Source organism: Homo sapiens, chromosome 7 (genome assembly GCF_000001405.40).
Source record: "Homo sapiens chromosome 7, GRCh38.p14 Primary Assembly".
Taxonomy (NCBI): Eukaryota; Metazoa; Chordata; class Mammalia; order Primates; family Hominidae; genus Homo; species Homo sapiens.
In genome coordinates this window covers 30668388-30693170 of record NC_000007.14, presented here as the reverse complement: position 1 = coordinate 30693170, position 24783 = coordinate 30668388, and the positions used below count along the sequence as shown (strand labels likewise).

Below are 24783 nucleotides of genomic sequence, written 5' to 3'. Positions count from 1 at the left end.
CTGGGGGCTAAGACCTAATATTTATAATTCCTCATCTCTCTTGTGCAAGGTCCTGCCCACTGGCTGGGTCTGCCTCCCGTGACCCAGGTGTCTGCCTCCAAGGCCCCTGTTCCTCTGTGGCAAGAGAGGGGCTTCTCACCTGAGCGGCCTCCTGAGCCCCACAGCCACCCAGTCTGGGGCTGGGGCCCTCTCAGCATCCGTGACCCACAGGTCTTCACTTCCTCACCCAGGATCAGCTCTTCCCATGGGAACCTGACCAAGCCATAACCTACCAACTGACTGGGCTTGAATCTTGCCTCTGCCCCTTACCTGAAGTGGGACCTTTGGTGGGTGACTTCGCTTCCCTGGGCCTCAGCAGCCTCATCTGTGAAATGGGGTTATTTGCAGCTACCTCAGAGACTGCCGTGAGGATTCAATCCGCTGTCTTCTGTAGGGCATTTAGAGGCAGGTCTAGCACTAGAGTAAGTGCTGACTTCACGTGAAAGAAGCCTCCCCTTCCTGCCTGTCTCCCCTCTTCTTCTCTTGGCACCTCCATACCAGATGGTGCAGTTTCCTGTGTGGGCCCTGGGCTCGCCTGCCTCTGAGGGTTTGCTTTCTCAGCTTCTACCTGGGTCACTTTCTCCTCTTCTTACTGCTGTTCCTATGGCCCAAGTCCTTCCATCCTTTTAGATTCCGCTCCAATGTCCAGTTCGCCGAACGGCCTTCGGTTTCCTCAATGAGCATTCACTGAGCACCGCTGAGGGGCGAGCTCAGTGAGGGAGATGGAGGCTGCACCTTCAGGGGCCCATTGTCCGAGGGAAAGCTGCTGAGGGCAAACGGAGTCCCACACTGACTGGAGAGCTGGGGAAGGGGGGCACAGGGTTTCCAGGAAGCTTTTCTGGGCAGGAAGAGCTTGAGCTGGGCCTTGGGAGTCCCGATGAGGGGACTCGACCTCCCATCACTGAGCTCTCTAACTAGCCCCCTCCTAAAGTCCTTGCCAAGAGTCACCATTCAGCGTGCGCATTCTACGTGCCAGGCTCTTGACCTACAGTAATTTGTTGAATGCACACAAAATCCTGTGGGATTTGTATTATCCCCATTTTAAAGATGAGGAGATCAAGGCTCAGAGAACTTAAGTGGCTTGCCAAGGCCACACAGCTAAGCCCAGCATCCCCAGAACTCTGCACACTGGGATGTGTGCACTCTACCCACTCTGACAGCTCTTCTCAAGTCCTTGGAATGGGATTATCCAAGATATGTCTGTCCCTGACTTTCCTGGACCATGTGTTTTCTGAGGACAGCAGCCTCTCTTTCCTCCTCCTCCCTGCCCACCCATCACCACCACCACTAGGGGCTCTGCCCAAAATTGACACCTGCATGGTAGATTACGACTTCGGACTGAGTCAAATCCACCCAAACAAGCCCCTTGAAGAGAATGAGTATCTTTGGCTGTGTCAGCTTTTGGGGCCAGCAGAGAAGTTATAGGAGATGAAGCCAGGATCTGGGATTACTCCAAAAATTACTTCTGATATGCCTGTACCAAATTTTGCCCAGACCCAAAGAGCAAGCATCAGTTGCAGAGTATGGTAACCCTGTGCCCACTCCCCACAAAGTGCTTGCTCAGCCAGAAGATGGCCACAGCCTGAGACCACAGAATCCAAGGCAAGGACCATCCCACATTGCCTGAGTCCTGGGGGAGGATGCCCTGACCCCATCATGGGTTCAAAGCATGTGTCAGAAACCCCGGTAAAGTCAAACAGGAGATCACCTCAGTGATGGGGCTACAAATGTCACAGCTCAGGGGCTTTGAGAGAAGGCACTAACATCTGAGATGGAATGGCTGCATCTGCCTAAGGGCGCACCGTGGACACTGCATGCCTCTGGGTTGCCCGTACCCTGACCTCCAGAGGCTGGGATTCACTGGGAACCCTCCCACAGAGGGCATTACTAGCTGCTTCTCAAACAAGGGCGATGGGCGCCATAAAGAGGGTGATGGGTCAGACCTAGAGCCCTCACTGTCCCCAGACCCAGCCAAAAGTATGGCCTGAGAATTCTTCCTGGAAGGTCTCAGTGTCTGGAGTGTTCCCTCCCCTCCCCAGCCCCCCAACCCCTGGCAGTGGCTCACGGGGTCAGCAAGGTCTTCCTGATGCCCGAGAAGCTGGAGCTGAGGAACTCTCAGCAGCTCCCTTGATATGTGGACAGCAAGACCATGGCCCCCAGTGTTTGTCCTGCAGGCCAAGAGGCCAGAACTCCTGGCTGACAGCTCAGGAGGCCCCCACAGTGCCGAGACACACACACAACACACACACCTGCTCCCCTGCATTTCCCTCTCTACCTCACTTCGTGGGGTGGGAGTTTGGCAGAACACAGGTGCAGTGAGTGCCTCCAAGTGGTGTCTGCCTCACCCTAGGCTTCCGGGAGGGGTGCAGGGGGCAGCACTCTCCTGTCTGAGCAGGTGGGGTCATTCATTAGAAGCTCCAGGCTGACGTGGTGAGGGCTGAGCATGCAGCTTCCAGTCCCAGCACAGGAAATGGACTGAGCCCAATGTGGAGAACGTGATGTTTGAGGGCTTTTGGGCTCTGGCCCCTGGGGACATCCTGGGGCAAACATTGACCCAGCTGCCAGGAAGAGTACATCTGACAGGCAGCAGGAAGAGAAGGGGCTGCACACTGATGGAGCAGTGTCTTCTGGAATCCCAGAATCAGGAATCTCAGGGTTGGGAGGGGCACAAAAGTCACACACGTGTGTGCATGTACTCACACACACACACGCTGACCATAGAGCAAGAAAAGGAGTGGTCTTGGGAGGAATGGGGCCAAGCGTTAGAATTTAGAGTGAATTGCTCTCGTTCAGTCATACACCATGCATTTTCCAGCCTCTCTGCCTTTGCACATGCTGTGCTCTCTAACTAGAATGCCCTTCCTGGCCTGATCAGCTTGGCAAGCTCCTACTCACCCTTCAAAACCCACATTAGCATGACCTCTTCTGTGATGCTACCCCTGCCCTCCTCAGTAAATCGTACATGCCGTAAAACTGTACATCCTATCCATCTTTCCCACCAGAAGATGGTCCCTTCACGGGTGCACATGCCCACATCTACTTTATCCGTGCACATCCAGCACCCACTCTGATGATTTTTTAGGAGACGGGATCCTGGGTGCTTTTCTATCTTTTGGATGGAATTGCCATTATTGCAACAATCACATATCTTCCCTAGTGAGTGCCTAAGCTGGCCCTATGGTCCCTTCTTTTGTCCCTACTCATCTTTCTGGGTGCCCCAAAATGCTACCTCTCCCAATAAGCCTTCCCTGTCTTCCTGAATCCAGGTTAGGCACTTCTCTCACGTATTAACCTAATGCTCTTCGTTGCAAGTGCCTGCTTACCTGTGTGACAGGGAAACAAAGTTAAATCATGCATTTGCCTCCTCTTCCTTCTGCACTTTCTAAGTCTAGAGGATCCCTACCTGGCCTGGGACTACCTGAAGGACACCCATCAGTTCCCCCAGCCAGGGCCTGACACACAGTAGGTGTTCTGCAAATATTTGTTGGTTGAATGAACAACTAATGGAACCCACCCCCCACCCAGCTTTGCTGACAGAAGGACACAAGCCCCATGACAGTGACACATCCCAGCCTGAGGAGGAGACAGCCTTGGGGGCTGAGGGATGGACAGAGCAGACCCCTGCCTAGGAGGCAACACTGCATTGGGCCACTTCTGAGGCCTTTCTTCGGTCCAGCCCAGGCCAGACTGCTGCTGCTCCATGTGGCCATGGGCATCTCCCTCCTTGTTCTCCCTCTCTGTACTAAGAGGAGTAAGGGATGAGTGATAGGATAGGATGGGGGCAGACAGGCACTGTCAATGGCTAGCCTGGGCCTGATCTTTGACCCTCATCCTTGCTGTCCCCTAGGCAGCCGGGCAGAGCCAGATGCCCAAAGACCAGCCCCTGTGGGCACTTCTGGAGCAGTACTGCCACACCATCATGACCCTCACCAACCTCTCAGGTAGGTACCCTCTGCCACCACCCTGCAGCAGCCCCTGGAGATGTGGGTGGGCCCTGCGGGAGGAAGAGGCTTTCCTGGGGCCAGCCCAGGCTCAGCAGGGTGGTGGGTGGGGTGCTGGTTTCCAGTCCTGGTTTGATTTCTGCCTTGCTGAGGGCCCTTACGCAGGCCCTTCCCCATTCTAGGCTCAGGCTTGCCACTGATAATGAAGGGCTTGGCTGGGAGGCCACTCCCCATTCCCAGCTCCCACGATGGAAGTCAGCTGGGCTGGCATTCAGGAGTCCAAGAAGGGGATGACCCCTCAGCTTTCCAACTCCAGGGAAACTGGCAGAAGGTGGTAAACATTCTCTGGTTGCCGTGGCTACAGGTGTGACTTCCTGGTAAGGACTTGCAAAGCAGCAGCCCGGCCCTGAGTTCTGGCCCCTCAGAGGTTTCCAGTGGCTGATTCACAGGGTCAGGGCCAGCCACTGCAGAGCTGCACAGAGCCCTGGATTCTGCTGGGTTCCAGAGAGATGTCTCCAGTGTCCCACCCTGTATCCTGGCCTTCCCAGGTCTGCATCCACAGGATGGGAGTGGGGGTGACCCTTGCTCGGGCCTGGGGCCACTGCCAGGGCACAAGGAGACAAGGGTGCTGGCCAGCACCCAGACCCAGCCTACAGGCACTGCCCAAGCCAGGCGTCAAAGAGAAAGTCTTGCTGCCTGTTCTCCTTCCACTGGGGCAGTCAATAGCTCCGGTGTTGGGATCAGGTAGATCCAAGTCTGGATCCTAGCTCTTCCACCCAGCGGCCTCGCCCAGCCCCTGGAAACTCACCTAACCCATCTGTATTAGTGTCCTGGGGCCACTGGAACAAAGCACCACAGACTGGGGGCTTGAGCAGAAGCTGATTTCATCACCATTCTGGAGGCTGGTAGGCCAAGATCAAGCTGTGGGCAGGGTTGGTTCCTCCTGAGGCCTCCCTACTTGGCTTGCAGATGGCCATCTTTCTCCCTATGTCTTCATATGGTCTCTCCTCTGCATGTCTGTGTCCCAATCTCTTCTTCTTCTAAGAACACCAGTCCTATTGGATTAAAGCCCGCTTACCTTACTTTACTTTAATCACCTCATCGAAGACCCTAAATCCAAACAAGGCCACATTCTGAGGTACTGGGAGTTAGGACTTCAACATACAAATTTTGGAGCAACACAGTTCAGCCTGTGACACCATCTGAAGCTAGTTTCCTCATCTGTTTAGCAATGGATCTAAGTCCACCTCGGAGGCTCACAGTGAAGGCTGAATGAGAGCCCACGGGGACACCTAGCACAGGCCATGCCAGCATCAGACAGGAAATGGAGGCCCCTCCCTTCAGGAAAGCCCAACCTTCCCTCACCCTCAGAGGCAGCGTGGGTTTGTCAGCAGACCCATAGCCTTCTCCCTGCCTTCCTCTGCCCTCCCTCCAGCAGGTGGCACAGACCCTTCCCTGTCTCCCTTGGCGGATGGTCCCCGCTCTGAGTGCAGCGGATAGGGTCCCAGCTTCTCCAAACATACAGCCTTGCCTGTTCAGCTTCTAACAGCATTCATCCATTTGCAAAAGGGATCCACATGATTTCTATAAAATTGGGCACAAAAAAATTTAACTCAAAGGAGAAGATGATAAGTACTCATTCTCCCACAACCCAGGAATTTTTATAATGCCTCATATCCCTCAAGAATTTATGCATTCATAGAGCCTCATGTTCAATTGTTTTTTTATTTTCTTTTTCTTTTCTTTTTTTTTTAATGGGATAATAGTGTGTCCATAGTTTCGTCGCCTGCTTTTTCCTCTTATAACTCAGAGTGAACATTTCCCCATGTCATTAAATATTCAACCACCGCATCGCTTGTGACGCTGCCTAGCAGCCACTCTGGGGATGCATCACCCCACATGAACCATGACCGGATGGTGGATGTAGAGGCTGCTAGGGAGCCCCTCGAGCTTCAGGAATCATTTCTCAAGTCCCCAAATTGATAATGACCTTCTTTTCAGTGTCCACTGCTTGGGGAAATGCATCATGTCTAACGCAGAGTTCAAAACCAAGTAAAACCAAACACTATATCTTTTAGATGTACATACCTGTGAGAAAACTGAAAAAAAATATGAGCCAGAGAATGACAAATGCAATAGTCAAGGGAATGTTCCCTCTGGGGAAGGAGAATAGAAATAAATAGATAAGTGACTGGTAATGATGTAGTTTCCAATTGGGTGGTAGGCTTATTATATTGTCTACTACATACAATAAAAAGACTAAATAAAATAAAGACTAAAAAATAAAGTTAAGCCATGCATGGGCTAATGCACAGACTAATAATGACAAAGGGTCACGAATCTATGATCAATTCAATTGTATGCCCCTGAAAAAGGCAACGCATGCAAAATCACAGAGCAATTATGACTTCAGGCAGGGTTTAAATAGATTATTTCTATTTTATTCATCACAGAGGCAGCTACATATATTTGAAAAATATTAGGGCATATATTATGAGGCATATTATTTATCCTATCCATAGATGATATAAAAATCCAAATGGACTATTTATTTATTTTTTATTATTTTTTGTAGGCTGGTCTTGAATTCCTGTGCTCAAGCAATCTGCCTACCTTGGCTTCCCCAAGTGCTGAGATTATGGGTGTGAGCCACTGCACCTGGCCAAGAATCCGAATGGATTCAAAGATACCTTGAAATAATTCCTCAATGCAACACACACACATATGCCAGGGTTGGTCAAATGGGAAGAGAGCCTTGGCCTGAAGACAGGGACCTGGGCTTTCCTCAGCTCTTCTGCCAAGGTATCTGTCCTTTCTTAGTGACTCACTGGGCTGAAGTCTAGAGCATTCCAATGGGTGCTGGGGATGGGTTAGTGAACCAGGACCAGCCCTGCCCTTGGGGAGGCATGGGCTGGTAGATGAGACAATGAATAAAAAGCAACCTGGATGTGACATAGGCCAGCACCCAGCAGATGGGGTCACCAAGGAGCTGCATGTCTGAAGGATGAGTGTGGAGCTGTAAGGCCATTTCCAGTGCAGAAATACAAACAAGGAACAGAGATAGCGAATGGTTTCTGGTAGTGACACATTGTTCTGGAGGGCCTTTCAAATGAAGCAGGAGGGTGAGGATGGGGGACGATGATCATGAAGAACCTTCTTTGCAATACCAAAGATGGTTCCCAGGAATGACATGTTGTTCTGGAGGGCCTTTCAAATGGAGCAGAAGGGTGAGGATGAGGGATAGATGATTACGAAGGACCTTCTTTGCAATACCAAAGAGGTGGTCTCCATCTCAAGGGCAATGGGTTGGCGGCACTCCTATGAGGAAGAGTGACAGGATCGTAATTATAAAACATCGTTTTATCTGCCATGAGGAGACAGGGAGCCCATTTGGGCTGCTGCAGAGATGAGGATGGCCTGGGAGAAGTAAGGGAGGGAAACCTCTTTTGCTTGTCTGGGAATCCTATTGTCCATCTGTAAAACAAGAATGTGGGATTGGATGTCACTGAGAGTCCTTTCTGTCCCCACAGCTTAGTCCCATGGTTTGACATGAAGACACCAGGCCAATTCCTCTGTCCTGCAGTGGAGTAGGATAGGGTGAGGAGGGGGTGCCTGGCCTGGGACCCCTGTCTCCAGTGCTACAGGGCAAAAGTGCAGCACCTTCAGGCCCCTCTGGAACCTCTGTGCCCTCAGCAACCCCGTCGTAATTCCCAGGAAACACCACGACTATTCCAGCTGTGCCTGAATAGACTCCCTCTCTATGTAGTCTAACCAAGGACAGTCCCTTAGAGAAGCAAAGATGCATCCTGTCCCTTTAAATCCTGTTTTCCAGCTGACATTTGAGTGGTAGGGGATGAATTAGAGAGAGAATGTGTGTGCATGGTGAAGATGCATAACTGTGGCTCTGTGTGTGATTCTGTTGTGCCTACATGCCTGTTTGATGCCATGTATTAGGCTTTGCAAGTGTGTCTGAGCTGGCCTGGAACTGTCCACTGCTGCTGCAGCTGACATCAGAGGTGGGCCATGGGATGGGATGCAGGGCACCAGAGGCACCTGCCTTACTCTGCTGCTCATGGTACACAGGGGTCTTCCAAAGTACCTGTCACACTTCCCTGAACCTATTTGCCAACCTGTCCCCAACAGCTTGGGGACACACAAACTGTTCCAAATACTTATCCCCTAATTCCTGGCCTCCAGCTGGGATGGGGCTGGCCTGCAGCGCTGGGAACCCATCACTATCCCAAAGCCTCTAATCTACCTCTGCTTCTTTAGTTAGCAAAAATGCCCCTGTCTTTGTTTGTTTGTACTTGGATTTAGTAAAATTGAGGGAATTTTGGGGCTCTTCCCAATTTCTTCCTCATTTGCCTGTTTGCAGACACTAAAGTGAGCTGTAAAATCAATTTGTTCCCAAACTGCTACCTTTTCTAGTTTTCCCTCTGTCACATCTCGAATGACAACTGTGCCTATAATAATAAGATCCATGAAGAAATGGCCCCACATCCAGGGGACCTCGGGTCTGTGGGTCTGTGGGTATGTGCTCAGACCCCAACTGCTCATTCAGGATGCAGAACAGCCTTTGACTCTGCCACTGAAATGGTCACTTCCCAGAAGAATCTTTGGTATGTGAGCTCTCCCAGTTAAGAGCAATCCAGTTCACCCAGGCCAACCCTCTGTTCTGCAGAAATCTGCATGAGATGAGAAGTCCCTGGCCTCTGGTCATTGGGAGCACACCACCTCTTGACATAGCTGCATCTATAGGTGCTTTAGGCACCACCTAGGTGGTGGCTGCAGTAATGAACAAGGATAATAACTTAAGCTTGGCTTAGGATTTCTCCCTTCCTCTGTGCTGCACCGTGCTGTGTGAAGGGCTATCCCTTGTATATGAGGGACACTATTGCCCTGTGAATACATGGGCTGACCTGGCCAGCCACCCTCTGGCCTGTGTGGGACCCTGGGTAACAGGGCTCAGTCTAGGAGCGGAGGGTAGGACTCTGCCTAGGTCCTCCCCTGCTCCTGGCACTGGATAATATGAAGACCAAGGAACCTCTACCTCTGCAGCTGCCCAGAGCTGAGCCTGGGCTCTCACTGTCCATTCAGGAGGCAGAGGGTAGACCTGGCTGGCTGCTCAGCATCTTGTTCCTGCCAGTCAGCAGGCCCTGGAGAGATTCCAGGGCTCAGCCCTGGTCTTAGTGTGGTCTCACTCGCTCTGCCTGGGCAGTGACAGCACCATTAATATGGAGGCTGGTGAGAGCGGAGCACACAAAAGCAGCCTGCCTGCTGCTTTGCCTCTCTCTGCCCAGGGCATGGTGCTAGTTCATGGTGGTTTCAGCCTTTCCTAGCAGCTTAGGTTTATGTGGAGGATGGCAGGGGAACAGGACTGGTTTCTGAGACTAGGTTCCAGCTCTCCTTGCCCTCTAAAGATAGAAACAAACAACACACAACACACATGTATGTCTTCCCCAGACTCTCCGTCTCATAACTCAGAACCAGAGAGTCTCAGAGCTGAGAGGGGCCTCGGGGAAGATTTCACTGATGGAGAAAGCTCCAGAAGAGAGGGCAAGCATCCTGCCTGGGGTACCATGGCAGGGAGAGCAGAGTCAGAGGCTGGACCAAAATGCAGCCTGAGTGGAAGCATGCCTTACCCCAGGCCCTGCTTCCCGAGCCCAATGCCCCACTCAGCTGGCAGACACAGCAGGCCCGCCCTGGGCACTCTGAGGGTGCAGCCACAGCAGATCACCAAGGAGGCATTCTGGGCCAGGGTGGGGTGGGGGGCCTGGGCAAGTTCTCTGGGGAGGTTTCCAGCTCCTCCACACCTGCTGTGGGGCCTGATTCTCCCCGCCCCTGCCCCGCTACTGGTGTGGAAACCAGGGTCAGGTGAAGCCCTGCCCAAGCCTTGAGGAAGAGAGACACATTCTCACTTCTTCCTTTATTCTTTCTGGTGCCCAAGGCACTAACAACTGGGTGTATAAAGCCTTCCAGATAATTTCAGCCAATTTCTCCCCTAGACTTACTCCATCTGATTAAATGGCCACCCAGTCACTCAAGCAGGAGACCTGATGTTATCCCTGCCTCTGGGCTCCTACTTAAAACCAGCCACCCACTCCAGTTCCTCCTCACCAGGTCTGGCTGCCCCTCCGAAATCTCTCTCCATTCCAGCTTCCACGGTCTGATCCAAGGACTTCAACCCACTCAGGCCACTTGATCTCATTAGACTCATGGGTGTCTCCCTGCTTCCCTCCAGGCCTCCTCGATACATTTCCTTCCCAGAGGCTATGGAGGCTTTTGGAGGATGCAGATCTGCCCATGGGCTCTCCGTCTCTGCCTCCCTCCAGTGTCCTCGCTCAGGGAGGGGAAGCTCAGGCGGAAAGCTGCCGAACTTTGGGTTGCGGCTGTCCCTCGATTAGCAGAGCTGCGGTGTTCTCCTCGGGCAGGCGGGCAGGTGGGCGCGCTTTGCTGCCCCCTGCAGCTCGGGGGCCTGCGATCCCCGCACAGAGCATTCCGTCACCCCAGGCCCACGCTCTCCAGCCCACCGCCCTCCTCTGGACGCCGCGAGTGGAAGAGAGCTGCGAACTGAGAAGCCGTACTTTGGGCAGGGTGGAGGGCCCGGGGGCTGGAGACTGAGCCCCTCCGAGAGGAGCCGCCCGGCCCCGCCCCCCGGCGCAGCCATTGGCCGCGGCGGAGCGGCTGTACCCGCAGCTCCGTGCACTCGGCGGCTCCTCTCCGGGAAGGTCCCCACTTGACAGCTCTGGGCGACCGGAGGTGGCGCCCAAAGGCTGCCCGGGAGATCGGGGCTGGGCTGGCGGGGGCCAGGACCCCGCGCCCTCTCGGCCGCTCACTCTCGCGTCCACTCCCTCGCAGTCACGCCGGGCGCGCACTCCCACTCCCTCTCCGCACGCGGCTGCGGGACGCGATGGACGCGGCACTGCTCCACAGCCTGCTGGAGGCCAACTGCAGCCTGGCGCTGGCTGAAGAGCTGCTCTTGGACGGCTGGGGGCCACCCCTGGACCCCGAGGGTAGGCGGGAGGCGAGCGGTCGGAGGCTGCGCGGGCTCCTTCTCTCGCGCGCTGGGTGCGCCCCTGACCCCGCGCTCCGAGAGCCCCGCGTCCCTGCGGGCCCCTCTGAGCCCTACTGCGCTCTCTCCCGCCGCCAGGTCCCTACTCCTACTGCAACACGACCTTGGACCAGATCGGAACGTGCTGGCCCCGCAGCGCTGCCGGAGCCCTCGTGGAGAGGCCGTGCCCCGAGTACTTCAACGGCGTCAAGTACAACACGACCCGTGAGTGCCCCCGGCCCTCGCTGCCTGCTCTACACCGGCCTCCTGAGAAGGCGGTTTAGGGAGTAAAGAGGATTCCGGACCCAGCGGTACAAAGCTGCTGACGGCCGCGGTACCGCGGACCGCGGGCGTTAAGGACCCCTTACAGTGTTGGGGGCGCGCCTTCTGCTTCTACCCCCAATACAGCGTCTAATCTCAGTAAGCCAGTGATTTGCCCACAATTCCCGTGCTCCATGCGGTGACAGCCCAAAAAGGGGAGAAGGAAATACTTCCTCCTCTTGGAGTGTAAACCTCCTTCCCTCATTGTAGGTTCCCGTTGCCTGAAGTTCCCCATTAGGGCTTCATTGTTTAGACAATGCTTCCCCTGCCCAGGAGGGGGACCTATCCCAGGAGGGCGGATATGCTAAGTCCCAAATCCCCCAGAGTGAGTGCAGTGACCAGACCCTACTACCAGAGGGGAGGAGGAGGGTAGGAGGCAGGAGGGCTGGGGCGAGCGCATGTTTCGTGGGGAGGACATGCAGGCGTAGGTTCTGCTAAGCCAGAGGGTGCGGGGTGTTGCATCTTCCCTAATCCGAGGTCCCAGGACTGACCTGCTGGGCTGAGTCAGGGGCTGTGGGCAGCATTATTCCTGCGCCCCCATAATGAGTGGTGTCTGAATCAGCACCCCAACACCATCTCTCAAGGAGAACAACCTGTGCCTGCCTTCCTCCTGGCAAATCATGGACTGGCTTGAGGCTCTGGGGAAAAGGGCAGTAGAGGTTGCTGGAGTTACACAGCCTCCAGGTGGGGTCGTTCAGTGTGGGTTCTGGGTGTGTGCGTGTGGGTAGGTGCCTGTCTGTGCCCTGTGGAACATGGGATGGGAGCCAGGTGTGTGGTCTGCGGGAGGCTGTGGGGGCAGCAATCACTGCCCCACCTAGAACCCCCCTGATATCTCCAGCCGGACCCCAGTTGTCAAGCACGCTGAGACCCTATCTGGATTGTTTGTCTGAAGCCTCTCATCCTGGAAACATCCTCAGAGTGTCTGTGTCTGATTGGTAGCCCAGCTCCACCTCCACCACACATACACACACACACACACACACACACACACACACACACAAGCTTTCAGAAGCTGAGGCTGAGGGCTTTGCCATGAGAGATGGTTAGAAGGCAAGAGAGATGTACCTGCACCTGATGCCAAGCCGCACTCTCCTGGCTGCACCAGCTGAGGGCTCTGGTGGGCCCAGGGAGCACATGCTTCCCATCCATGATTAAAACAGATCTCCCTAGAAGGAAGTAAGATCCCCAAGCTAGGAGGTGTGCAAGCAGAAGGAATGATTTCCCTGTGCCTTCCTAGTCCTGACCTTATAAAACTGTATTTTTAGGATTCCGTGAGCTGTGTGGGGTGGGGCAATGGAGATCAGCATGCCTGATTCAGACTGGGCCCGGAGATTAAGGGCCATCCAGGGTAAAGTGGGGTGATGGAGCATCTCAGCCCACAGCCTGTGAACCTCAGGGAGCTCTGCTTTCGTTCTTACCCCAGCCTGGGCTATGCCTTGTTCTCCCCGACCAGCCTGGGGGCCCCCCCTTCCCAGGGCCTGGGTCTCTTCTTCATAGCCAAGCTGAGTACAGTAATACTCAGTCAATTTGTGGAATACCCACTATGTGCCAGCCACTGCACAGGCACTGTATTGAGGCTCTCACTCACAATTGCAACAGACAAAAAGAACAGAATGATGAATGCCCTAATTAGGGGGGAAGCACAAGGTCTATGGGATTGGGGTGTGGGGGCGGGGTGACAAGGAAGACTTCCCAAAGGTGCTGCAGACAGCACATATCAGGCCATTCATATCAATTAAGTCTAATGAGAAGCTGATAAAAGGTTGGGGCACCACCCAGGCTGGTAAAAGTAGGGCCAATTAGCCCCTGGTATCTAATGAACAATTTTCTTCATTTAGACCAAAGTGCTGCCTGCACTGCAACTGCTGGAGAATGAGAGGAGCTTGTGGAGGGTGGGGAGCACTTACCACTAACCAGCACCTGGGGTGTGAGGTCAGCCTAGGTGGGAAGAGCAGAGGCTGCTAATGGCTGTGGAAATGCATGATTGATTTCCCTCCTCCCCTTTCTTCACATCAGTGCTGCTTCCTGCTTCTCTGTTTGCCTTTTCCTTGGGATCCTTCCTTTAAAAAGAATGACAGAGGGAGAAACCTCCACGAGAAGCCTAGGGGAAGAACAGGAGCGTTCAGGCTCCACTTCCTGCCCCAATTTTGTTATGCTATAGCCAAACCCGCATTGAAGCCTCATTCCTTAGAGAGCAGGAATCGCCCGGGTGGGGATAGCAGTTTAGATATTAGTCTCTGCGATTTTTCAACTCAGCTGAGCACAGAGAATCTGCCACAAAGCTAAGTGTTGATCATTTTCCAGGTGCCAGCTACCACTGAGAGAGCTTTGTATCCATATCTCAGGCATCCATAATCCCACTCGCCCACACTCCCTCTGAGATACATACTGCTTTTATGCCCATATTGCAGGCAAGAACACTGAGTCTCAGACACATGAAGTAACTTATTGAAAGTCCTAATCAGCTCCTATGCACCAGTGCAGGCAGGTGAATCCACAGCCCTCGCTATTAACCATGGGGCAGTACTCCCTCCACAAGAGGCATTCGGTTTGCGAGGAGAGCTTAGAGGTTTGGAAAGAAGACTCATACCTCCGGCCTGGAGGATCAGGGAGGACTTAGCCCTCTGAGCTGGACTTCTGGGGACAGGTTGGATTTTAGCAGGTGAGTGTAATAGGCACAGGAGAGGCCCTCTAGGCTGAGGGGACTGAGCAAAGGCAAGGAGACAGGCTGGGCTTTGTGCCTTGGGAGGAGTGTGTTGTATGGAGAACAGGGAGTAGGAGAAAGAAACAATGAGGCTGGGGAGGGGCATGGAGGTCAGGTGATGCAGGGCATTCTACAGGGCTTCACCATCTGGAGAGGGAGCCTGGGTGAGCTTGTGAGCAGAGAAGCTCAATTTTGGGAGCACACTGTCCTCTGGAGGGAAAGGAGAAGTAAGGGGATTTCTGCACAGACCCAGGTAGACCGCAGGCTGTAAGAGCAAATGAGGTTGAAGACGCCAGCAACCTTGGGCATTTGAAATTGACAAGATATGGTGAGAGATGGCAAGGTAAAGGTTGGGCACACAGGAAACAGCTGAGCACAGTTGGGGATGTGTTGACTTTGAGGAGCTGGAGGGACAGCTGAGTGGAGATGTTCAGGAAGCAGCTGGTTGGGTGGGGGAAAAGCTCAAGAGAGCACCAAGAGTGGAGATAAGGCGTTTAGAAGTCCTCAGGATGTGGGGTTAGCAAATAGCTACAGTGTGTGAGTTTGGGAGGCTGGGTCAGAGCCTTGAGCCATCTTACCCAGAGTTATTTCCAGATGCAGCAGGGCCAAGGGAAGGGAAGGGACTAGCGCATGGCCACACATGTTAGTCAGTGGCAGAGCCAAGTTAAGCACACGAGTCTCCTTGGGTGTTCTCTACACAACCTGTGCTGGCGCTTCAGTGGCTGAGCTTCCACATGTTTGTACTGTGGTTTAACTCATTTAATCCTTGCACCATCGAGTGACAGAGACATGGCATTATCCTCATTTTACACATGGGGAAACTGAGGTGTGGAGCAATGAAGTCACTTGTAACAGAACAAGGATTCAAACCCAGGTTCTGCTGCCTTTCAAAAAGCAACTCTGCTAGGTTAAGCAGAGAAGAAATTTTTTAAAAAGATATTGGGGAGCTTATGGAATCACTGAGTGGGCTAGAGAACCAGATTTGGGGCCCCAAGCCAAGAACACAGGGCAGAGCTGGCCCTGTGAGGGGACCTCCCTCTCCCTGAAAGGCCCTGCCAACACCACCAGCCCTGGCCACCACTAGTGGCATGATCAAAGATCACTGCAATCTCAAACTCCTGTGCCCAAGCAATCCTCCTGCCTCAGCCTCCCGAGTAGCTGAGACTGCAGGCACATGCCACCACACCTGGCTAATTTTTAAATTTTTTGTAGAGTTGGGATCTTGCCATTTTGCCAGAGCTGGTCTTGAACTCCCAGACTCAAGCGATCCTCCTGTCTCTGGCTCCCAAAGTGCTGGGAGTATAGGCGTGAGCCACTGCACCTGGCCAACCTGGAGTCTTAAGCTTCCTGCAGTTATCTCTGGAGAGGCTTTCTCCCTGTCTCCATCTGGGGGCCTCCAGTTCACTAATTCCCTCGGGTAGGTGCATCTGATGGGTGGGGGAATATGTGGAGCCCCAAATCCCATGCCAAAGCTCTGGCTACAAGGGATCCTGGGAAGTAAGGATCTGGCATTTTAGCTCTAGGCGGGGAGGTAGCCTCGGTCTTACCCCAGGATTCTCCGAACCCAGGTTCAAATCCTGGGTGGCTAGAAACAATCCTAAATGTCCATATACAATTTAATTGGGGCAAGTCTCATCCCTTTTGTGGGCCTGTCTCCCTGTCTGTAGGCCGAAAGGAAGTGGATTAGCATGGAAGTGGTTTGGCCAGAAGTGGGGCACTTATATTCCATTTTCCTCCCACCTCTCCCCATTCCACACGGACTCCTCTGAGCCCATCTCTGTGTGTACATCTCTGTCTCTGTGTCTCTCTCATTGTCTCCCTGTCTGTTTCTGATTTTCTCTATGTGTGGTTCTGTTTCTGGGTGTATGTTTCTGTCTTTCTCAGATTCTCTCATTTTCTACCTCTCTCTCTCTTTCTCCATCTCTCCCTACTGCCTTCTTCATCCCCCGACTCCATCTCCAAACCCACTGTCTCCCCACTCCCATCCCTCCTTCTATCTGCCCTCCTCCTGCACCTCATCTTGCCTGTCCCTACGGTCCTTTTGGCTGCAAAGGAGGGTCTTGCCACCTCCCTCCTGGCCATGGTCCATTTTCCTTCTGTGGAACCACTAAGTGCAGCTTGGCTGAGCCTCAGCCTCCTTGACCTCAAGCTCCGCAATGTCCTACTGGGAATGGCTGGGGTCATCTGTACTGAGGCATCTGCCAGGACAGGGGAAGAAGGGGCATCCCATCTAACCTAGCCACATGGGGAGGTTAGGGGTCCCCACTTCCCAGAACCCCATTCTAGAGACATGCTTAAGCACTGATTGTGTTACAATGGAAACACATAAGCTGAGTGGTCTCCAGCCAGAGGGGTCTCTCCCATTGGGTCTGCCTGCTTATGCAGGAATCCCTTCTTCAGCCCTAAGAGTCAGAGGTGATAAGAAAGGCTGAGACCTGCCCTCAGGAAGCCCCAGGCTGCTTATCAAGGAGGCTTGTGCAAATCAACAGTCAGAGATCGGGAAGAGGGGCTTGGTGGACACTGGGACATTCCTGGGAGGCTTTCTGGAGGGAGTGGGGGTAAACTTTAAAGGTCTTGGAGCAGTTGGGATGCCACATTTGTTAAGGACAGGCGCAGTGCAGGGGTGCAAGCCTCAGGAGGACCCCAGATAGACCCTGCCCTCTGGGTTGAAGAAGTAGAAGCTGTAAATCCGGAAACTCAGGTCTGCATTCTCAGACTCCAGCGAGACCTGATCCCCCCTGACTCTATTCCATTCTCCAAGGGCCACAAGTTACTCCATGTGTGAGAACAACTTCCCTGCTGGGAGAGAGGGAAGGTGGGACAGGCATGGCCATCACAGAGGTTTAGCTAAGAAAAGAAGGAAGGAAGAGAAATAGAGCAGAAGTGGATGCCCTTGTGGCCATCCAGACACCCCAGAGCTGCCCGGCTGCAGAGCGCTCTATGTTCCGAGTCCAGCCTTCCCCTCCCCACTTAAGGGTAGGAAATGACTGGCCAGGAGAGGGAAACACAGCTGCTCAGAGTTCTACAGCAAGTCTGGGCCCTGATAGGCCTCTGCTGGCTCTGGGAACTCCTGGCTTCTGCTCTAGCTTCTACCCACCTCTGCATGCATCTTGATCTTTCCTGTCTCCTGCTCTCCCCAGGAATCCTCCAGCCACCTGATCGTCTTGCTCAGGCTCACCCCTTATTGGGGTTCTGAGTATTTTACCCTTTCCCCCAGAAAGAATTGAGGAGCCTAGAGACAAGCTTTTCAAAGATGCATAAGACCTGAGCCTGCCTTCCAGGGGCTCCTGTTCTAGGAAGAGTGACAGACAGGCAGACTCTCAAAGAGAACTTTTTGATATAGGCTCCCAAGTAAAATAGCACAGTGAAGACAGTCAGAGCACATGGAAGGGAGTTATTCCAAGAGTAAGGGAAAGTAAATTTGGAAGACTTCATGGAGGAAGTGTTGTTGAACAGTGCCTTGAAAAATTGAGCTAATGATGTGTCAGATGGAAGGGAGGGTGGGAGCGGAAGTGGAAGAGGAGGGAGGGAAGAATAAGCCAGATCATGGAGGCCTCAAATGTTGGACCAGGGCATGGGCCTCGATTCTGCTGGCTTTAGAGACAGCGGCTGCTTGTCCGTAGCCCTATGGCACAGGACCAGAATACTCTGGAAGGATACTGCTTTTCAAAATGTGCCATCTAAATCTCAATCAAGGGCTGGCTGGGGACCTGGGCCTTGGCCCTTTCCTCTCCTCCCACCTGCTCCTTAAGTCAGAGGTCCCAGCATCCTTCCCTGTGCACTCCTTACCACCAGTGCCACAGCAGAGCCTGGAGCCCTGAAGACGGGCTGAAGGAGGAGCCCCATCTCAGTGATCCTCAGGGAGCTCCCCACAGGGCTTCTTGGCTGGGCCCCAGGTACAGGCATTTGGGCCCCTCTGACTGCCCACCCTCACCAGGTGCTTCAGAGTCAGGCAGGCGGTCCCTTTCACACACAGCACCTGCCAGGAGAGCAGCTGGGGCAAGGGAGAGTGGGAGGAACCTGGGCTCAGATTTAGCAGGGCTGGATCTAAGTCCTGGGTTTGCCATGACTCACTGAGGGACTGGCAGGCCCTCCTTGTCCAAGTCCCAGTTTTCTTATCTGTGTGAAGGGGACAGAGAACATGCTGACCTCGTGGGGCCATGGCACACAGGGGAGATGATGCTGCTTGGGGCTCCCTGTAGACAGCTAAGGCATTGTCAGCAAGGGGAGGGGAGTTGAAGGTGGCCTGGGGCCTGGAAGGAGGGGCCATCATGTCCTTGGGTAGGGGAAATCCTGCTCACACCAAGAATGGCTATCCTCATTCTGGGGTGGTGGTCTCCTGCTATCTCTGAGAGCCCCCAGAACTCTGTGGCTTCTGGGGATGTCCTGGGAGGGAGGATTCTGTCTATCTAGATTGAGAAGGTCTGGTACCTAAAAGCCTGTAGAGAAAGGCAGCCCCTTGCCCCCCTGGAGGGATGCTGCTGGCATCCTGCCAGCCAGCTGTCTTCTCCCTGCATTACTTCATAGGAACTAGGAACTGAGAGCCAGATCTAATCCCGGCCATCCTACTGACTGCTTTTCTCCCTTTGGGCAGGTGGTCTCCCCTCTTCAGACCTCAGTTCATCTGCACCAGGTGGGTGGAGGGCTTGATGAGTTCTAGTGATGTTTCTCAGTTCCAAGGCAGCTTCTGCCACAGGGGTCCTGTGTTGGTCCCCTCCCCACTTTCCTCCACAGGCTGGCGTCATGGCGACGAGCCCACTGAGTGTTGCTAGGATGGCTGGAAGGAGGGAGCCCTGTACAGTAGAGGCGGGAGCATGAGGTAGGGGCCTCCTCCCACTGCCCCTCTCTGGGGAGGGCAGAGCTTACACAGTGAGCTGGGTTCCACTCCCCCTTCCCTTTTTCATAGACCCAGTATGGTCTCCATTAAACTGCTCAGTGCCTCTATGACTCAGTTTCCCCACTGTCTCCTGTAAGTGTGCTTACAGGTCCTGCTTAAGGATGGCAGGGCACCATGAGTGAAAAGTCCTGTGGAAATAGGGAGTTGAGGGTCTCTGAAGGTCCAGAACAGGCAGTCGAGGCTCAGAGAGCTGTGTCCATATAACACTAAGAAATGGAATCCAAGTTCCCTGGCCTGAATCCCAGACAGCACCAGCAAAGGGCCCTGGGGATGCCTTTCCCACCCAGTGGCTGGGGTTGGCAATATTAGACTCCCAAACTCAATCTAGCACTTCTACGTCAGTCTGGGTCTGAGCTTGGGTGAACATCACCAGCTGCCTGTTCCCCTCTGACCACCAATTTGCTGTGATCGGATCAAGACAGAAATATGCCAGGTGGGCCTCAAAGTTGGTCAGTCCTCCTTAACCTGCAGTGGCCTCCAAGCAATGCAGGATGCTGACTCAAGGAGATGCACCTCGTTTGGGAAGCTCAGGAAAACCATGCTGTTAGTACTAGGACTGTACGTCTGACCACCCCAGCTCTGTCCACCTTCCCCAAAAGTCTCTTAACTGGGGATGAAAAGCAATCCACTCCAGGAAGTGGAGGCCAAGCTGGGAGGAGACATTGATTGAGAGGTTTTTCCCACAGAAAGCAAGAAAGATGGCCAGGCATGGTGGCTCATGCCTGCAATCCCAACATTTTGGGAGGCTGAGGCAGGAGGATCACTTGAGGCCAGGAGTTTGAGACCAGCCAAAACCACATAGTGAGACCCCGTTTCTACAAAACAAACAAAAAAATAACAAATGATCATGGCATGGTGGCACATGCCTGTAGTCCCATTACTCAGGAGGCTGAGGCAGGAGGATCACTTGAGTATAGGAGTTCAAGGCTGCAGTGAGCTAAGATCACACCACTGCCCCCCAACCTGGGTGACAGAGTGAGACCCCATCTCAAAAAAAAAAAAAGTAGGTAAGAAAGGTGACTCAAAGTCATGGTCAAAGATTTCTCAACTAGGCCCCAGGCCAGACAAGAAGATGGCTGGATCTGGAGTGGCCCAACTACAGGCAGTAAAGGGAACTGAGGGTGGGATATCTGGCCCCTAAGGTATTCTCTTCTGAGGATCTGGACACCAAGTGGTAATGACACTGAAGAGGTGGCATAACTGGCTGCATCTGCTGAAACACAGGGTCACAGGGAGAGTCTGTCTCTCCTAGGTACACCAACTCCAGGGTCTCCCGTGAGGAAGCGTGTCCCAAGGGAGAGAGATCTTCTGCCTCTTCATGGTTGAGTGACCCCAGATGTGTCAGTTTCTCTCTTCTGGTCCCACCAGACCAAATGCAGAAGTTGTCTTCCTTCCTAATTCCCAAGGAGATGCCTGATAACTCAGTTTCCAACTTGCTTCCCTTGGAACAGTCAAAGCTTTCATGCCAGGAACCTGGAGAATGCTGCCCACAGGTTTGCTGTTTGAGACTGACACCCCTCCCCCATGTGGGGTTGGACTGCAATGTCTGCAGTTTTGGCAGCTGGGTCAGCCTACCCATGGTGTCTTTGTGTGAGACCTTGCTTCCTCCTGCATGTATGTGTGACTGTTTTGTATTTGCCATGCATCTTGGTGAAGCATGGGCATACAAGGTGGCAGACTGTCCTCCTGGCCCACTCTGAGCCTCCTACCTTCAATGAGTTCCCAAGTAACCTAGGAAACAGCATCAGCTTTGGTCCATCCTGAGATCCTGTGTGCTCAGCTCTGTGCAGTGCTTAAGAAAAGGCCAGAGATGACAGCAACCCAGGACATGCCTTTAGAGGCTCTCAGCCTTGTACAAAATAAGGTAAACTTCTGCTCCAGAGAACCTGGGCTGGTTAGGAAAGTACAACACCTTTATAGGGGTCAGTGAAAGATCAATCCCAGCCTAGCATGAGCCAGGCAGTCACAAGCAGCTGGACCCTTGGGGAGCTGGAACAGTCATGGAAACTACCTGGAGGAGCTGGGGCTGGAGCTGGGCCTTGAAAAGGGGCATGAATTAGCTTGACCTCAATGGGCTGGGCCCATGGCCAAGGTCGGAATATCGGGTGGGAAGGCTGGTTCTTAGGAGCTCTCCGAGGTCCCCAACCTTAGAGATAGGCAGGGATGAAGAATGGAGTTGTGCTGTCCGCGGTGCTGAAAGTTCCGATCCCATGTAGTGACTTCATTCCTTCTGTAAATATTGCTTCTGGCCCTCCCCACCTCAATGTCATCACCTTCTCTCCCTCACCACCACTACTACTACTAGTACTACCTCTTCTTCTTCTCCTCCTCCTCCTCCTCTTCATCCTCCTTCTTCTTCTATCATCATCATCATTATCATCATCATCATCATCATCATCATCATCATCATCATCACAGGGTCTCACTCTGTCACCCAGGCTGGAGTGCAGTGGCACAATCTCAGCTCACCACAACCTCTGCCTCCCAGGCTCAAGCAATTCTCTCACTTCAGCCTTCTGAGTAGCTGAGACTACAGGCGCACACCACCACGCCTGGCTATTTTTTTTTTTTTTTTTTTTTTTGAGAGATGGGGTTTCATCATGTTGCTCAGGCTAGTTTCAAACTCTTGGGCTCAAGCAATTCACCTGCCTTGGTCTCCCAAAATGTTGGGATTACAGGCATGAGCCACCATATCCAGCCTCTCCCTCACTTCCTGTCCTTTTCTTTGCAAATAGCCAATGACCCCATTGTTGTGCCTTACCACAGTCCCATTAACTCTTTTCCCCATGCCTACCCCTGTCCCTTGTACTCCTTCCCCCAAAACTACCACCAAAAGTAGTCCCTCATGGTCCCTGTCTCCTATGGTCCATGTCTTTCCAGAAGGTATCAGAGATAGAAGTGCCAACCATTTGATGGTGATGTCAGGATGCTTGGAGTTGTCACAATAGCTTGAGGGTGCTAACTGGCATTTAGTAGACTGGGGAGTCTCACATAACATATAATTGATCCACCTGAGATGCCAATAACATCATAGAGAATCAATTTACTGTAATATTTCTAAGAGGCAAAACTGAGACCAAGAGGGAAGGGGCTTAGTCATGGTCACCTAGCTATCTAGAGACAAAACTACAGCTAGAATATAGGGTCTCATGTCCCAGCCAGGCTTCAGGACCACCCCAGGTAACTGCCTGAACCAGGAACTCTTTGCAAAGTGTCAGCATCTGAAACGGGGAGAGCCCATTGTAATGGGGGTTTTTGGCAGGCCTGGGCCACTCTGGGCATGGAAACCAGGCCTCCCAGACTACAGAGTCCTGCAAGAGAAGACCCTGCCTGCATCATTCAGACCCTAATGCCCCTGGAAGCCCACACTCCACATCATCAGCACTGATCCTCAGCAGGGGCACCTGTGTTGCTATGGTAATGGGCACCCACCTCTCTGCATCCAGCCCCACAATTCTAGCCTTGCCATCAGCCCTCAGAGTGTGTGCCCATCCGTCTACGTTTCCCACGGGGTGGATGAGATTCTTTCTGTCTTACTCCCTCCTGTCCGAGGCTGTGCCTGAGGGCCCAGTGCCCTCATTGGCCACAGCAGACAGCTCCCCTGAAGAGTGGGGCACATCTATCCTCCAGTCCTTTGATACCCAGTGTCTGTAACCAGAAGCTCATCTGCAGGCAGGGCTGGGCTGCCAGAGAGGGAAGTCCCCTCCCGCTTCTGCATCCCACCTGCTTTCCCAGGGGTCAGCAGGTCTGAGTCAATTCTGTTCAGCCGACATTTCCTCAATGGCTCTGTCCTGAGGGAGATATGGTGGCTCCAATATGGCTTCTACTTACTTGTCTATCCCCAAGGAGCTCAAGTCCAGTAGCAAAGAAAAGAAGGATTAGGTCCAAAGAGATGAAGTTCATAGTGAATTATGGCAAATGCACTAAAACAGAATTTGTATTTTTCAAACTATGGATTGTGACACAAGAGTGGACTGTGGAGTCAATTTAGTGGGTCATGATCAGTGTGTGTGAAATGAATAGAAGACATTAGAATAGGCTGGAAAGGAAAATAGTACAGCTGGATTCTGTGTTTGTGTGTGTGTGTGTGTACTGGATTATAACATAAAATGTATGTGTTATTGTGGTTCAAGGGCAATAAAGTGGAAAAACTACGTTACAAGAGAAGGGAAGGGATAGAGGAGGAAACAAAGAAAGGACTGCTTCAGACCTAAGGGTGTCGGGGATGGCTCCATGCAGGAGGCGGCATTTGAGTGTGGGGTTAAAGATGGGTAGGAGTTCATCCGTGAGCAGTGGGTAAGAAGGAGGAGGTGCTTTAAGTGGTGGATCCACACAAAGAGGGTATGTGCCAAACCTATGTGTGCCAATGCCAGTGGCCATGTAGAATGCTGGAGATGGGTCAGGACAGTTAGGCTGGGACCTGGGTGTCAAGGGCCTTGACTATCATGCTAAGAAATTGGACTTTATTCTTGAGCACAATAAAGAGCCACTGATGGCTTTAAGCAGAAATCAACATGGTCAAGGTGGCAAGAAAAGAAGCAGGGAGGCAAGAGGAGAGGAGGCTGTTGTAGCAGCCCAGGCAAGAAGACTAGAGAGCAGATGGAGGGATGGGCAGGAGGGGAGTTGACTCTGGAAAAAGAAAAGGAGGAGACAGAATCCATGGAACTTGGGACCCCATGGGCATTGGTGTGAGGGAGAGGAAAGGTCTCTGATTTGCAGCATTTCTATCCTGACCCCCTCCCACCTGCAAGCCCACCCCATGATCAGTGCCACCATGAGATATCATATTCGGGAAACAAGTATTCCAAGGCCCTGTCCTCAGGGAGCCCCCACATTGATCAGAGTGACCAGACTCACTCACCTAGACAGCTCCAGGCTGGTCATGGGGCAAGGGCTGGAGTGTGGGGCTCAGGCGGTCAGGACTGGAGGTGCTCAGGAGAGAGAGAGCTATAGAGTAGAAGCAATCAAGGAGGTCTTCCTGAAGGAAGGGGCCTAGCACTGAGCTTCAGGAAAGCTGGATAATATCTATGAACATATAGAAGATAAATTTTTCTGCCCTTTGAAGCACAGGCAGGATCCTGGTCTGCCTCACCTCACATAGACTGTTCAGAGGCACCGTAAACCCCCATCAGGGAGGGACTGTTCATTTCACAAAAGAACTTACCCTCCTTACATACTTTTGCTTTTTTAGTTCAGTGACATCACTATCACTGACCCTCACGAGTTGAGGTAACCTTTCTCTTTCATGAGCACGAATGTTGGTAAGGAAAGATAGTGCTAGGTATCAAATTAGATCCCACCTGGGGAGTTGGGCGCCATGGCTAGGGGTGGGGAGCAGGCTTCCTCTTCCTGAGAGTCAGAATCAGCATCAGACCAGGGCATTCCCTGACTCACTTGGCAGGGGGATGGCAGGGCCCTGCCAGGGATGGGCCTTGGCCCAGGAGGAAGGAATAGGCCAGTCACGTCCCTGGGTTTGAAGAATGGATGAGCTCCAGGCACCAAACTAAAAAACAATTAAGCTAATAGAATCTTCCCCATTGATTTTGCTCTTCGGCAAGTGCTCCTTCCCAATTCCATTGCTTCCAACTCATCGGGCTCAACGGAAGTGGGTTTTTAAGTAACTTAATTATTTCAGAACACACTGCTTCCAAAAACAACCTAAGGTTCCCCCTCCAGCTCTGCAACTCTGTGCTCTGCAAGCTATTTATTTTAATTAGCTTTACATTGTACATCTAACATATGCTAGAAAGAAAAATTCACAGACAACTGCCCATTAGTCAGAGAGCTGAACCCTGGTACAAATCACCCCCAAACAATGGAACGTTCAGCA

The 24783-nt window shown here is 52.8% G+C and overlaps 1 protein-coding gene and 1 long non-coding RNA gene across 8 annotated transcripts in view, besides 3 other annotated features; one reads left to right on the top strand and one right to left on the bottom strand.

Annotated features, from left to right (window-relative positions):
• Positions 1–24783, top strand: part of CRHR2 (corticotropin releasing hormone receptor 2) — a 48162-nt gene that overhangs the window by 6933 nt on the left and 16446 nt on the right. For 3 of the 7 annotated variants that reach the window (NM_001202482.2, NM_001883.5, NM_001202483.2), the window contains exons 1-2: positions 10715–10993; positions 11131–11256. In NM_001202482.2, coding sequence (NP_001189411.1) covers positions 10891–10993; positions 11131–11256 — 229 coding nt within the window. In that variant the 5' untranslated portion in view covers positions 10715–10890. Of the gene's footprint in view, positions 1–3886; positions 3981–6555; positions 6783–10714; positions 10994–11130; positions 11257–24783 lie in introns of those variants that run through there. The other 4 variants (XM_047419893.1, XM_047419892.1, NM_001202481.1 and 1 more) reach the window with 3 other exon arrangements.
• Positions 4325–4835: an enhancer, noted in NCBI's record as "H3K4me1 hESC enhancer chr7:30727952-30728462 (GRCh37/hg19 assembly coordinates)". NCBI's record gives its function as "activates a minimal SCP1, AML or CMV promoter by ChIP-STARR-seq in naive H9 embryonic stem cells {active_cell/tissue: H9 hESC(naive)}" and the evidence as "EXISTENCE:reporter gene assay evidence [ECO:0000049][PMID:30033119]".
• LOC124901608 (uncharacterized) lies at positions 6400–10552 on the bottom strand. Its single transcript, XR_007060275.1, has 2 exons — positions 10098–10552; positions 6400–7454 (listed from the first exon to the last, which is right to left on the bottom strand). It is a non-coding gene; the product is annotated as an uncharacterized LOC124901608 (long non-coding RNA).
• Positions 10644–10693: a silencer, noted in NCBI's record as "silent region_18070". NCBI's record gives its function as "represses an Ori minimal core promoter by ATAC-STARR-seq in GM12878 lymphoblastoid cells {active_cell/tissue: GM12878}" and the evidence as "EXISTENCE:reporter gene assay evidence [ECO:0000049][PMID:35858748]".
• Positions 21031–21231: a silencer, noted in NCBI's record as "peak6463 fragment used in MPRA reporter construct". NCBI's record gives its function as "represses an SCP1 promoter by STARR-seq MPRAs in K562 erythroleukemia cells {active_cell/tissue: K562}" and the evidence as "EXISTENCE:reporter gene assay evidence [ECO:0000049][PMID:32103011]".